The sequence below is a fragment of the Homo sapiens genome, chromosome 7 (assembly GCF_000001405.40).
Source record: "Homo sapiens chromosome 7, GRCh38.p14 Primary Assembly".
NCBI lineage: Eukaryota > Metazoa > Chordata > Mammalia > Primates > Hominidae > Homo > Homo sapiens.
Window position 1 is genome coordinate 106,205,252 of NC_000007.14, and position 15,650 is coordinate 106,220,901.

The following is a 15,650-nucleotide window of genomic DNA, read 5'->3' on the forward strand; positions in this document are numbered from 1 at the left end:
CAAATGCAGAGGCCCTTGTTCCCGGCACGCTCTCATAGGTGCCCTGCAGTGGGTGAGGGAGAGGAGTGAGTAGCAGGTTCAGGCTTGGGGAAGTATGGTGATGAGAACCCACACTGCAGGAGCTTAAAGTTCTCTAAACCAGCTCTTAGAATTTTGAAGTTGCATCCAGTATAAATGAAAGGCTTGAATGCTTACTTACGTGTTGGATCAGTGTAATAAATAAAATGATCAAATGGCAGGGAATAGACTAACCTCGCAGTCTCTTCCCATGAACAGTATTTGTGGGAACAAAGCCATTTTTGGAGAGCAGAGAAAATAATTTATTGGTAGAGGTTTGGGACATTGTCACAAGGGACCGAAAGGATAACACACATAGGAACCTTTCAAATGCTGATATTATCAGAAAAAAAGCCTTTCATTGAAAGGGGAGCTGTTTATAATTTGATTCCTCCCCCATGAAACTCAGATCCTTCTTACATCCATGCTTTCCCACAGAGGAGGAAACCTCCGAAAGGGAGAATGAGTACAGAAAGTGGGAAAGCAGGAAATGGGGCCCTAGGAGCTTGAGATGAGGGTGAAACCTCGAGAGGCAAGAAATGCTTCAACCGTGCAATGAGTCATGCAGAGTGAAATTAGGTCTGGGCTTCAGTTTCCTTTCTTTGCTCCCAAATCTTGCCATTATCTTGATTTTTGTCTCTATTCTGCTTGTAGTATCTTTATTCCAAAGAGGGAAGGCTGTTTCTGACATCTTTACAGGCCTTAGCATGCTTAATGTTGGAAGGCAAACACATTAGAGTACACCTACATCCCCAATTAAATATAAGTAAATATTTGATGAGATACTATGTTGAACCATGTGAAATTGCCATTTATAAAGGTCAAAAATGGTCAGATATTAGCAGTTTCATAATTTCAATCTAATGACTTTTTTTTTGAGGTAGGGTCTCTGTCACCCAGGCTGGGGTGCAATAGTGCTATCCCGGCTCACTGCAGTCTCGGCCCCCTGGGCTCAAGCAATCCTCCCACCTCAGCCTCCCAAGTAGCTAGGACTATAGGCATGTGCTACCACATCCAGCTAATTTTTAAAAATGTTTTGTGGAGGGTGGGGGCTGAGGTCTTGCTTTTTTGCCCAGCCTTGTTTTGAACTGGCTTCAAGCAGTCCTTCTGCTTACTGGCCTCCCAAAGTTTTGGGATTACAGGTATGAGCCCCTGCACCCAGCCCTAGTAACTTTACTTTTGAAATTATTTAACTGTAAGTGCTGCATTTAATTTACAATTCGCTATTATTTGTCAGCATCTATTACATATGGGCTGGAATTTACATGAACTGAGAAATTCTGACCTGCAGATGGTGATTAGAGGTAATGATATTTTAAATGTTGATGAATACTAAATTTAACAATTAATGGAGTTCACATAATGTGGCATCTGTAAACATTGCATTAAACATTTATTCATTAGAGCCTCTTAATTGTTCTTTTTTATTTTGGAGCTGTTGTAGGTTGGCTTCCTAAAGAGCAGTTTCTGATGGAGAGATTAATGTGCCAGAGATTTATTAGGGGAGCTACTAGGGTTAGCACCTGTGGGGAAGGAAAGTAAGCCAAATTGTTCAGAGGGAGGAGCTGGGCCACAGTGCATTCATGACTGGCCTCTGCAGCTCCATAGAGAGCTTGGAGCTAGGATGGCCCTTCCTGTCATGAGATCAGGCTGTCCTGGGAAGGGGGCATAACCCCAGGCAGGGTGGCTCTCTGCAGGTGAGGGCAATTCCAGAACGGGCTGGCAGTTGAGGGCTGTTAGCCAACATTCCCAGCAGCTTGCGGGACAGGACCTGCTGTCCTGCTGGGGAGCTGGGTGGCAAAGCAGAGCAACCACAACAGCTGCCTACTTTTTTAAAGGTTTTTATTAATCCCCTAGCACTGGATCTGAAAGACCCATGGGATCAACGGGCTCTGTTGGGAAGTGCTGACAGTGCTTGAGGCATTAGTTAGGGAGAGAAAGGCTTTTAAGTATATGTAAGAGGAAATAGGACGATATTGGGCAGGGTGAGATTTGTCAGTAGATGTTAAGGTAGAGGGACCTGGATGAGAGTCAGGAATCCTACCTGGTTATCTAGCTCCTACCAGGGCTCAAGCTACAACACTGACTGGACCCTTGGTGGCCTCCCCTGTGAACCCAGGGGACGAGGAAAGACTTGGTGACTCCCATCTCTCCTCCTGGCCCTGGCACGCGGGAGCTCTCTAAGTCTCATCTTTTCTTTTGCTTTGTTTTTCTGAGACTGAGTCTCTGTTGCCCAGGCTGGAGTGCAGTGGTGTGATCTAGGCTCACTGCAGCCTCTGCCTCCTGGGTTCAAGCGATTCTCTGCCTCAGCCTCTTGAGTAGCTGGGACTACAGGGGTGCACCACCACGCTTAGCTAATTTTTGTACTTTTTTAGTAGAGTTGGGGTTTCACTATGTTGGCCAGGCTAGTCTCAAACTCCTGACCTCAAGTGATCCTCCCACCTTTGCCTCCTAAAGTGCTGAGATTACGAGTGTGAGCCACCATGCTCAGCCATCTCATCTTGATGGCTCCAGTGTGGAGCAAATCACAGTTCCTAACTCACCCTTTGAAGGGCTAAGAAACTCCGAAATGATTCAGATTTCAATTAGGGAGTTTGTGAACCTTCTCCTGTCTCCTTGCTCTGATTCCTGGGTTGTTGGTGGGGGCAGAAAGCAGAGATAAGATCCAAGCCAGGCCACTTGATAAAGAATCATGCCTTTTTCTCCTTCCTCTCCCTCACGATCCTGAGCAGGCACAGGTATGACTGGGACACTCCAATTCATTACTGAGCTGAAGGCAGCAGATCACAGAAGGAAAGCTAGAGAATGGGGAGGGGAGCCAAGAGTTAGAAAACCAGTGACTTAAACACAAGGCCCCCTTGCTTTGCAGCACATATACCAAAATTGGAATGAGACTGAGAGATTAGCATGGCCCCTGTGCAAAGAGGACACAAAAATTCATGAAGTGTTTCATATTGTTTTCAGGGGCTGGTTAAAAAGATTCTGGAGATGGATAGTGATGAGGGCTGAACAACAATGTGAATGTACTTAATGTCACTGAACTGTACAGTTAAAAATGGCCAAAATGGTAAATTTTGTTATATTTTACCACAATTTTTATAAACAAATAAACATGACCGTGAGAGATAAAAGGCTACATAAAGACATCATAAAGAGCAGCAAGCTATGAAGTGAAAGTCACACAATTATATTAATGATGTCAATTATAGCCAAAAGAAAAGCAAATCTTGAAACCCCTATGCAAGCCCTCAGTCATTTCATATACCATGATGTAAGTTCAGAGTATTAGAATGAGCAGGCTCGATGTCCTCTGGGTTCAAAGCCCAACTCTGACACTTAATAGCTGTGTGAACTTGGACAAGACACCTAACCTCTCTGAGCCTGTTTCCATGTGTATAAAATGAAAATGACATCGATTTAGTCCAAGATGGCCGAATAGGAACAGCTCCAGTCTACAGCTCCCAGCATGAGTGACGCAGAAGGCGGGTGATTTCTGCATTTCCAACTGAGGTACCGGGTTCATTTCACTGGGGCTTGTTGGACAGTGGGTGCAGGACAGTGGGTGCAGTGCACCGAGCGTGAGCCGAAGCAGGGCGAGGCATCGCCTCACCTGGGAAGTGCAAGGGGGTCAGGGAATTCCCTTTCCTAGCCAAGGGAAGCTGTGACAGATGGCACCTGGAAAATGGGGTCACTCCCACCCTAATACTGTGCTTTTCCAATGGTCTTAGAAAACGGCACACCAGGAGATTATATCCCGTGCCTGGCTCGGAGGGTCCCACGCCCACGGAGCCTGGCTCATTGCTAGCACAGCAGTCTGAGATTGAACTGCAAGGTGGCAGCAAGGTTGGGGGAGGGGCACCCACCATTGCTGAGGCTTGAGTAGGTAAACAAAGCAGCTGGGAAGCTCGAACTGGGTGGAACCCACCACAGTTCAAGGAGGCCTGCCTGCCTCTGTAGACTCCACCTCTGGGGACAAAGCATAGCCGAACAAAAGGCAGCAGAAAGCTCTGCAGACTTAAATGTCCCTGTCTGACAGCTTTGAAGAGAGTAGTGGTTCTCCCAGCAGAGAGTCTGAGATCTGAGAACTGACAGACTGACTCCTCAGGTGGGTCCCTGACCCCTGAGTAACCTAACTGGGAGGCACCCCCCCAACAGGGGCAGACTGACACCTCACATGGCCGGGTATCCCTCTGAGACGAAGCTTCCAGAGGAACGATCAGGCAGCAACATTTGCTGTTCAGCAATATCCACTGTTCTGCAGCCTCTGCTGCTGATACCCAGGCAAACAGGGTCTGGAGTGGACCTCCAGCAAACTCCAACAGACCTGCAGCTGAGGTTCCTGACTGTTAGAAGGAAAACTAACAAACAGAAAGGACATCCACACCAAAACCCCATCTGTACGTCACCATCATCAAAGACCAAAGGTAGATAAAACCACAAAGATGAGGAAAAAACAGAGCAGAAAAGCTGAAAATTTTAAAAATCAAAGCGCCTCTCCCTCCTCCAAAGGAACACAGCTCCTCACCAGCAATGGAACAAAGCTGGATGGAGAATGACTTTGACGAGTTGAGAGAAGGCTTCAGATGATCAAACTTCTCCGAGCTAAAGGAGGAAGTTCGAACCCATTGCAAAGAAGCTGAAAACCTTGAAAAAAGATTAGACGAATGGCTAACTAGAATAACCAGTGTAGAGAAGTCTTTAAATGTCCTGATGGAGCTGAAAACTGTGGCACGAGAACTACGTGACTCATGCACAAGCTTCAATAGCCGAATCGATCAACTGGAAGAAAGGGTATCAGTGATTGAAGATCAAATGAATGAAATGAAGCGGGAAGAGAAGTTTAGAGAAAAAAAGTAAAAAGAAACGAACAAAGCCTCCAAGAAATATGCGACTATGTGAAAAGACCAAATCTACATCTGATTGGTGTACCTGAAAATGACGGGGAGAATGGAACCACGCTGGAAAACACTCTGCAGGATATTATCCAGGAGAACTTCCCCAACCTAGCAATGCAGGCCAACATTCAAATTCAGGAAATACAGAGAATGCCACAAAGATACTCCTTGAGAAGAGCAACTCTAAGACACATAATTGTCAGATTCACCAAAGTTGAAATGAAGGAAAAAATGTTAAAGACAGCCAGAGAGAAAGCTCAGGTTGCCCACAAAGGGAAGCCCATCAGACTAACAGCGGATCTCACGGCAGAAACTCTACAAGCCAGAAGAGAGTGGGGGCCAATATTCAGCATTCTTTTTTTTTTTTTTTAATGTTTAACTTTTTTTTCCTTTTTTTTATTATTATTAGACTTTAAGTTTTAGGGTACATGTGCAAAATGTGCAGGTTAGTTACATATGTATACATGTGCCATGCTGGTGTGCTGCACCCATTAACTCGTCATTTAGCATTAGGTATATCTCCTAATGCTATCCCTCCCCCCTCCCCCCACCCCACAACAGTCCCCAGAGTGTGATGTTCCCCTTCCTGTGTCCATGTGTTCTCATTGTGTGATGTTCCCCTTCCTGTGTCCATGTGTTCTCATTGTTCAATTCCCATCTGTGAGTGAGAACATGCGGTGTTTGGTTTTCTGTCCTTGCGATAGTTTACTGAGAATGATGATTTCCAATTTCATCCATGTCCCTACAAAGGACATGAACTCATCATTTTTTATGGCTGCATAGTATTCCATGGTGTATATGTGCCACATTTTCTTAATCCAGACTATCATTGTTGGACATTTGGGTTGGTTCCAAGTCTTTGCTATTGTGAATAGTGCCGCAATAAACATACGTGTGCATGTGTCTTTATAGCAGCATGATTTATAGTCCTTTGGGTATATACCCAGTAATGGGATGGCTGGGTCAAATGGCATTTCTAGTTCTAGATCCCTGAGGAATCGCCACACTGACTTCCACAATGGTTGAACTAGTTGACAGTCCCACCAACAGTGTAAAAGTGTTCCTATTTCTCCACATCCTCTCCAGCACCTGTTGTTTCCTGACTTTTTAATGATCGCCATTCTAACTGGTGTGAGATGGTATCTCATTGTGGTTTTGATTTACATTTCTCTGATGGCCAGTGATGATGAGCATTTTTTCATGTGTCTTTTGGCTGCATAAATGTCTTCTTTTGAGAAGTAATTAATTCAAGATGGATTAAAGACTTAAACGTTAGACCTAAAACCATAAAAACCCTAGAAGAAAAGCTAGGCATTACCATTCAGGACATAGGCATGGGCAAGGACTTCATGTCTAAAACACCAAAAGCAATGGCAACAAAAGCCAAAATTGACAAATGGGATCTAATTAAACTAAAGAGCTTCTGCACAGCAAAGGAAACTACCATCAGAGTGAACAGGCAACCTACAAAATGGGAGAAGATTTTCACAACCTACTCATCTGACAAAGGGCTAATACCCAGAATCTACAATGAACTCAAATAAATTTCCAAGAAAAAAACAACCCCATCAAAAAGTGGGCAAAAGATATCAACATTCTTAAAGCAAAGAATTTTCAACCCAGAATTTCATATCCAGCCAAACTAAGCTTCATAAGTGAAGGAGAAATAAAATCCTTTACAGACAAACAAATGCTGAGAGATTTTTGTCACCACCAGGCCTGCCCTACAAGAGCTCCTGAAGCACTAAACATGGAAAGGAACAACTGGTACCAGCCACTGCAAAAACATGCCAAATTGTAAAGAACATTGATGCTAGGAAGAAACTGCATCAAATAACGAGCAAAATAACCAGCTAACATCATAATGACAGGATCAAATTCACACATAACAATATTAACCTTAAATGTAAATGAGCTAAATGCTCCAATTAAAAGACACAGACTGGCAAATTGGATAAAGAGTCAAGACCCATCAGTGTGCTGTATTCAGGAGACCCATCTGATGTGCCGAGACACACATAGGCTCAAAATAAAGGGATGGAGGAAGATCTACCAAGTAAATGGAAAAGAAAAAAAGGCAGGGCTTGCAATCCTAGTCTCTGATAAAACAGACTTTAAACCAACAAAGATAAAAAGAGACAAAGAAGGCCATTACATAATGGTAAGAGGATCAATTCAACAAGAAGAGCTAACTATCCTAAATATATATATACACCCAATACAGGAGCACCCAGATTCATGAAGCAAGTCCTTAGAGACCTACAAAGAGATTTGGACTCCCACGCAATAATAATGGGAGACTTTCACACCCCACTGTCAACACTAGACAGACCAACCACACAGAAAGTTAACAAGGATATCCAGGAATTGAACTCAGCTCTGCACCAAGTGGACCTAACAGACATCTACAGAACTCTCCACCCCAAATCAACAGAATATACATTCTTCTCAGCACCACATCACACTTATTCCAAAATTGACCACATAGTTGGAAGTAAAGCACTCCTCAGCAAATGGAAAAGAACAGAAATCATAACAAACTGTCTCTCAGACCACAGTGCAATCAAACTAGAACTCAGGATTAAGAAACTCACTCAAAACTGCTCAACTACATGGAAACTGAACAACCTGCTCCTGAATGACTACTGGGTACATAACAAAATGAAGGCAGAAATAAAGATGTTCTTTGAAACCAATGAGAACAAAGACACAACATACCAGAATCTCTGGGACACATTTAAAGCAGTGTGTAGAGGGAAATTTATTAGCACTAAATGCCCACAGGAGAAAGCAGGAAAGATCTAAAATTGACACCCTAACATCACAATTGAAAGAAATAGAGAAGCAAGAGCAAACACATTCAAAAGCTAGCAGAAGGCAAAAAATAACTAAGATCAGAGCAGAACTGAAGGAAATAGAGACACAAAAAACCCTTCAAAAAATCAATGAATCCAGGAGCTGGTTTTTTGAAAGATCAACAAAATTGATAGACCACTAGCAAGACTAATAAAGAAGAAAAGAGAGAAGAATCAAATAGACACAATAAAAAATGATAAAGGGGATATCACCACCGATCCCACAGAAATACAAACTACCATCAGAGAATACTATAAACACTTCTATGCAAATAAACTAGAAAATCTAGAAGAAATGGATAAATTCCTGGACACATACACCCTCCCAAGACTAAACCAGGAAGAAGTCGAATCCCTGAATAACCAATAACAGGCTCTGAAATTGAGGCAATAATTAATAGCCTACCCACCAAAAAAAGTCCAGGACCAGACAGATTCACAGCTGAATTCTACAAGAGGTACAAGGAGGAGCTGGTACCATTCCTTCTGAAACTATTCCAATCAATAGAAAAAGAGGGAATCCTCCCTAAGTCATTTTATGAGGCCAGCATCATCCTGATACCAAAGCCTGGCAGAGACACAACAAAAAAAAGAGAATGTTAGACAAATATCCCTGATGAACATTGATGCAAAAATCCTCAATAAAATACTGGCAAACTGAATCTAGCAGCACATCAAAAAGCTTATCTACCATTATCAAGTGGGCTTCATCCCTGGGATGCAAGGCTGGTTCAACATACGCAAATCAATGAACATAATCCAGCATATAAATAGAACCAAAGACAAAAACCACATGATTATCTCAATAGATGCAGAAAAGGCCTTTGACAAAATTCAACAGCCCTTCATGTTAAACTCTCAATAAATTAGGTATTGATGGGACATATCTCAAAATAAGAGCTATTTATGACAAACCCACAGCCAATATCATACTGAATGGGCAAAAACATTCTTTGAAAACTGGCACAAGACAGGGATGCCCTCTCTCACCACTCCTATTCAACATAGTGTTGGAAGTTCTGGCCTGGGCAATCAGATAGGAGAAAGAAATAAGTGTATTCAATTAGGAAAAGAGGAAGTCAAATTGTCCCTGTTTGCAGATGACATGATTGTATATTTAGAAAACCCCATCGTCTCAGCCCAAAATCTCCTTAAACTGATAGGCAACTTCAGCAAAGTCTCAGGATACAAAATCAGTGTGCAAAAATCACAAGCATTCTTATACACCAATAACAGACAAGCAGAGAGCCAAATCATGAGTGAACTCCCATTCACAATTGCTTCAAAGAGAATAAAATACCTAGGAATCCAACTTACAAGGGATGTGAAGGACCTCTTCAAGGAGAACTACAAACCACTGCTCAATGAAATAAAAGAGGACACAAACAAATGGAAGAACATTCCATGCTCATGGATAGGAAGAATCAATATTGTGAGAATGGCCATATTGCCCAGGTAATTTACAGATTCAGTGCCATCCCCATCAAGCTACCAATGACTTTCTTCACAGAATTGGAAAAAACTACTTTAAAGTTCATATGGAACCAAAAAAGAGCCCACATTGCCAAGACAATCCTAAGCCAAAAGAACAAAGCTGGAGGCATCATGCTACCTAACTTCAAACTGTACAACAAGGCTACAGTAACCAAAACAGAGATATAGATCAATGGAACAGACCAGAGCCCTCAGAAATAATACCACACATCTACAACCATCTGATCTTTGACAAACCTGACAAAAACAAGCAACGGGGAAAGGATTCCCTATTTAATAAATGGCGCTGGGAAAACTGGCTAGCCATATGTAGAAAGCTGAAACTGGATCCCTTCCTTATACCTTATACAAAAATTAATTCAAGGTGGATTAAAGACTTAAATGTTAGACCTAAAACCATAAAAACCCTAGAAGAAAACCTAGGCAATACCGTTCAGGACATAGGCATGGGCAAGGACTTCATGTCTAAAACACCAAAAGCAATGGCAACAAAAGCCAAAATAGACAAATGGGATCTAATTAAACTAAAGAGCTTCTGCACAGCAAAAGAAACTACCACCAGAGTGAACAGGCAACCTACAGAATGGGAGAAAAATTTTGCAATCTATTCATCTGACAACGGGCTAATATCCAGAATCTTCAAAGAACCCAAACAGATTTACAAGAAAAAAACAACCCCATCAACAAGTGGGCAAAGGATATGAACAGACATGTCTCAAAAGAAGACATTTATGCAGCCAACAGACACATGAAAAAATGTTCATCATCACTGGCCATCAGAGAAATGCAAATCAAAACCACAATGAGATACCATCTCACACCAGTTAGAATGGCAGTCATTAAAAAGTCAGGAAACAACAGATGCTGGAGAGGATGTGGAGAAATAGGAACACTTTTACACTGTTGGTGGGACTGTAAACTGGTTCAACCATTGTGGAAGACAGTGTGGCGATTCCTCAAGGATCTAGAACTAGAAATACCATTTGACCTAGCAAGCCCATTACTGGGTATATACCCAAAGGATTATAAATCATGCTGCTATAAAGACACATGCACATGTGTGTTTATTGCGGCACTATTCACAATAGCAAAGACTTGGAACCAACCCACATGTCCATCAATGATAGACTGGATTAAAAAGATGTGGCACATATACACCATGGAATACTGTACAGCCATAAAAATGGATGAGTTCATGTCCTTTGTAGGGACATGGATGAAGCTGGCAACCATCATTCTCAGCAAACTATCCCAGGGACAAAATACCAAGCACCACATGTTCTCACTCACAGGTGAGAATTGAACAATGAGAACACATGGACACAGGAAGAGGAACCTCACACACCGGGGCCTGTCATGGGGTGGGGGGAGGGCGACGGGATAACATTAGGAGATACACCTAATGTAAATGACAAGTTAATGCGTACAGCACACCAACATGGCACATGTATACCTATGTAACAAACCTGCACGTTGTGGTCATGTACCCTAGAACTTAAAGTTTAATAATAGTAAAAAAAAAAAGGAAAAAAAAGAGAAAATGACATCAGACTCATATGTCTATTAGGAGAATCAAAGTATTACAGGCAAGGCATTTAATATAGTCCCTGGTACCTAGTAGACATTCATTAAATGTGTTTTCCTTCTCTTTCTGCAACACACAAATGCGGTGTGTTGTGGGACACAGGAACTAACTTGACAAATGGTAAGGATAAAATAAAACAAAAAAAAAGGTAATATTTGTGTAGTAGTTTCTGGCAGAGGCAGACCAGATAGAGCTAAAACACTCTAAGTTGCTGAAAAAGACTTAAAAACTTCTGTTAGGCATAGGGTACTGGCCTAGCTGTTGTAACTAAGAAAGCCCCACATATAATGGTTTAAAAAGATGGGAGTTTATTTTTCTCCATGTAATAACCCAGAAGTAAACTGTTCACAGCTGACAAGGCGGCTCGTCTTTCTCAACACAGGATTTCCATCTTTGGCTCCAACGGGGTTGCTTTGGATCCTGATATCATCTAGGTAGCGGGAAGGGGGATAAAGGCCAGGGGAAGGGAGGATGTAAATTTCTTTTAAGGACATGACTCAGAAATGACACAGCTCATTCTCACCCAGCATGACCAAATCCATGCTGTAAAGATGCCAAGAAAAGTACACTTGAACTGGCCAGAGAAATTCTCAGCTAAAACACAGGAGTGCTCTTATTAAAGACAGGGAATATGGATGTTGCTGGACAGGTAGCCATCTCAGCCACATACCTGTGTTATGTTTTCTCTAGTCTAAAACTTCAGGCTTTCAAAAAACAAACAAAACAACAAAGCTAACATAAACTCCAAAATATAAGCCCAATTTCTTTCTTGTTATTCAATAAATATTTATAGACTACTTACTATGCACTAGGCACTATTTGAAACATTGCAGATTCAGCAGACTGCAAAACAGATCAGCTTCCCGATCCCAGAAAGCTGTATTCAATAGGGAGAGAAGGTAAACAAATGAAAAACAGAAACAACAGTAGATACCAGTAAGAGCAAAGATGAAAATTAAGGCAATGGGGAAATGAGCGACTGGGTGGCTCCTCCCTTTGGGTGGTTAGGGAAGTCAGCCAGGCATTGGAAGAGCGGGAAGCAGAAAGTGCCTGCACGGGAAGCTGCAAGGGCAAAGGTCCCGATGCCGGGAAGATCTTGGAGGGTTTGTGACACGGAAGGGCTGGTGTGGCTGGATTTAGTGGGAGAGGGAGAAGGTTATAAGGGGAGAGAAGAGATCAGAAAGGCAGCTGGGAGCAGGCTTGTAGAGGGCTTTGCTAGCCAGGGACAGTTTGTTCTCTGGCATTTTCCAGCACTGATTGCATTGTACACAAAGTAGGCACCCAATGAGTGATGAATGAACAAACTAAAAGATAAAGACCTGAGGCTGTTGACACTCATAGCTTTCCTTTGCTTTACTTGGCAAAGATTAGGATTAACCTCTACTCATCCTTTGCATACCTCTCGCTCAGAACCTCAACACCTCTTTCTCCTTGCAAGATTGTTCTTAGTGTCCTTGGTAGCCCAGTGTCCCCTGGTTAAAAATGGCCTTAGGGAAAGAATTTGCGGAAAAGATGGCTATCTGAAGAAGATGACCACATCTCCTTTTTGGCTTTGTCTATTCTGTTCAACAGCTCCCATTCTGATTTTTTCCATAGGGTTTAGCAGATCTGGCATCAGCCTGCCACTCTTGGTTAGGGTTAAGTTTGAAGAGGCAGTGTAACAGTGGAGTGGCAGGATGGGATGGTAGTGAAGGCTGTGGCCTTTAGAGCCAGACTGCCCGAGTAAGGTACCTAGCCTTCTTGGTCATCAATTTACTTATCTGTGAAATGGGCAACCATAATCGTTCATGACTGCAATATTGAAAGCTTTGAAACTAAGATTTTTAGTAACTCACTTGAGGCAACACCTGTCCTGAGTTAATCTGAAACTGTTTGGAAGGAAAACTTGACATGAAACTACTTATAATCATTATTTATTCCATTTTTTAAATATTAGTGCATTTTGTTTGATTAGGAGACAGTCATAGACCCTTCCAGGGGAGTTATATAATTTATAATGTAATTTATAATGGGCCATACTTCTTAAAATCTGAAAAATTTTGAATTCCAAAACACTGGGCTTCAAGAATTTGGATAAAGGACTGTGAACCATTACTGTCCTTCCTAAAACATGGCAGCTAAAATGAATGTGAGCTGGCAGTTGTGGTTAATGTGCCAGCTCAAAGTTAAATGGGGAGTGAGAAGGTGTCTGGATGTCATGGAGTCATTCTCCAAACTTGCATTTCACCCTTGTGGGTGAGATGGTAAAATGTGGCTCAAATGATACAGTAGGAGGATTTTCCAGGCCTCACAGGAGTGTTTTTTGGGGGGAGATCTTACGGTGCTCCAGCTCTGGCCATTCTCCAGCTAATGGATTCAGAGGTGATTTCTGATAAATGGGGGTTCTTTTGGTTTCAGGTAAGCAACAGAAGTCCACATAAACTAGCTCAAGCTAGAGGATTATCAACGAAGCCAAAGTCAAGAGGCAGCTGGGCCTTAGGGATGTTCTGGAACTAGGAATGAAAGCACCGTGGACAGTTAAGGCTTCCCTCACTCTCTTTTTCCTGCTTGTATGCAAGTCCATCCATCCATCCATCTGGCTGCAGAGCAGCTTTCTCTGCTTACTAATCCACTTGGCAAAAACCAGCTACTGTCAACAGCTTCTGAGCTGTCTCTCCTGCATGAATTCCAAGCTCCCCAGGAGTAGGACATGGGCTTGGCCCATTGGGCTAAGGAGATGCGGTGGTGTGTGGGGTCAGGTCACCCTGCCCAAACATGGCTTCTCCCTCAGTAACTTTGTGGATGGAGAGGAATGGGCAGCTACTAGTAAAATGTGGGAAGGTTGTGTGGGGAAACTGTGTGAAGGTTAGAGAGCAGAAGAGTTGGATTGAGCAGACCCTGGTTCACACCAAACCAAAAACAAATAGTAAAGTGATGAGCAGGTAGGACAGGCTATAAGCAGAGGTGTCTCTGATCCTGTATCTTGAAGGAAAATCACACTCACCTTCACTACCACATCTGTTTGTACCAATGGCGGTTTTTTAAAAAAGGCAAGGTGAGAAACTGATCAGTTCAGGAAGGCGCTATCTGGTTCTTGTTGGGGTAGGATGGGGGAAGGTATAGAAAGGAAGATAGAGCAACAGCACTAGAGAACAAAGGGATGGTTGAAGTGTTTCACCTCCCCAGTCTATCAGTGCACAGGCTGTGCCTGGTTTCCTTCCACACAGCTGTGTCTCAACATCAGAACAAAGGATTTCCTCTGGGCCCTTTTGTACAGGTCGACCCAAGATCCTTCCTTGCCTATCAGCTCCTGGGGGCTATGACCACTTTAGATGTGGCCCCGCCTCATTCTTCCTGCTGAGAGACAAAATCAGGAGAAGTCCAGTTCCCAGGAAGACAGTAGGAGGAAGATTAGGAGGAAGGAGTCCCTGCTGTCCTTCCCATGGTAGAAAAACCATGCCTTCCTCCCCAAGATTTCACTTAATTGCTACTCCTTTAACTGTGTAGTTACCTTGCACTTGGCATGTTTACTGGGTGGGACAAAAATCAAGGGTCTGCTTGAGGACTTTTGGAGAGGAGACAAATCCAAATACCTTCTGACTTGGGAGCCACTTACAAGCTTAGGTCCAATCTGTATGATTGGAGAAAGTAGCCCAGGACTATCTTTTCATATAGATGCAGAGGCGCAGAACAAATAAAGCCCCATTCTTTGATAATTTACCTGGGGTTCAGAAAGTTTATTCTGAGCTTAATTCCATAAGATCTTCTCCAAATATATGTTGCAGTCACTGGCTCCTTCTTGGCATTTGAGCTAACATGGAACATTTTCCTCTCTAGCCCTCCTAGTTCTGTGATTTAGATTGACCATGAGGGCAAGGTAATAGAGGAGGAAGGTGAGGAAAGGACCAGAAATATGATGTGTCTGCAGACAGCAGGAGTATCTAGTCTTGTAAGCTGTTGCCTCCCTGATGCAGCCCTAGATTCCCTAGAAAGGACCTGCTCCTGCCCCCACCAGTTGCCATGGCAGCAGGTTCCAAGTAACTCCAGCCCAAAGTTTTACACTTAAGAGGCATGCAACCAACAGGTAAGTAATGACAAGAAGGGCTGTGTGTGCAGTTTGGGTAAGATCAGGCCCTGGTAGAAAGAGCTGTGGGCTGGAGGTCTGACAACCTGGGTTTGAGTCATGGCTCTGCATGGTGAAAACTTGGGCAAGTCACTCACTCCTCCTGAACTTCAATTTTCATATCTATAAAATAAGTTAAGATTGATGATCTCTGGGATACTTCCTGCTCCAACTTGCTGGGTTCTGCTTGCCTTTTGAGCATCACAGTTCCAGAAGCACTCTAGGCCTTTACCTGGAAAGCATGGAGCCAGGAAATGTGAAACTCGAATAGCCAGTTGGATTGGTCTACTTAGGCTGCTGTAGCAAAGTACCCCGTGCTGGGCGGCTTAAACAACAGAAACACATTGTCTCACAGTCCTGGAGGCTGGAAGTTCATGATCAAGGTGTTAGTAGGGTTGGTTCCTCCTTAGGGCTGCAAGGGAGAACCTGTCCCAGGCCCCTCCCCTAGCTTCTGATGGTTTTTGGGCAGTCTTTGGTGTTCCTTGGCTTGTAGCTGCATCACCTGGTGTCTGCCTCCATCTTCATGTGGCATCCTCCCTGTGTGTGTGTCCGTCTCTGTGTCCAAATTTCCCTGTCCATGACACCAGTCACATTGGATTAGGGTCCATCCTAATGATCTCACTTCAACTTTATTACCTCTGTAAATACTGTATTTCTGAATA

The 15,650-nt window shown here is 43.1% G+C and overlaps 1 long non-coding RNA gene and 1 pseudogene across 1 annotated transcript; one reads left to right on the forward strand and one right to left on the reverse strand.

Moving 5' to 3' along the window:
* RNU6-392P (RNA, U6 small nuclear 392, pseudogene) lies at window positions 2,916–3,016 on the forward strand (annotated as a pseudogene).
* LOC124901719 (uncharacterized) lies at window positions 11,174–11,925 on the reverse strand. Its single transcript, XR_007060467.1, has 2 exons — window positions 11,689–11,925; window positions 11,174–11,316 (listed from the first exon to the last, which is right to left on the reverse strand). It is a non-coding gene; the product is annotated as an uncharacterized LOC124901719 (long non-coding RNA).
* Window positions 11,926–15,650: the final 3,725 nt, after the last annotated feature.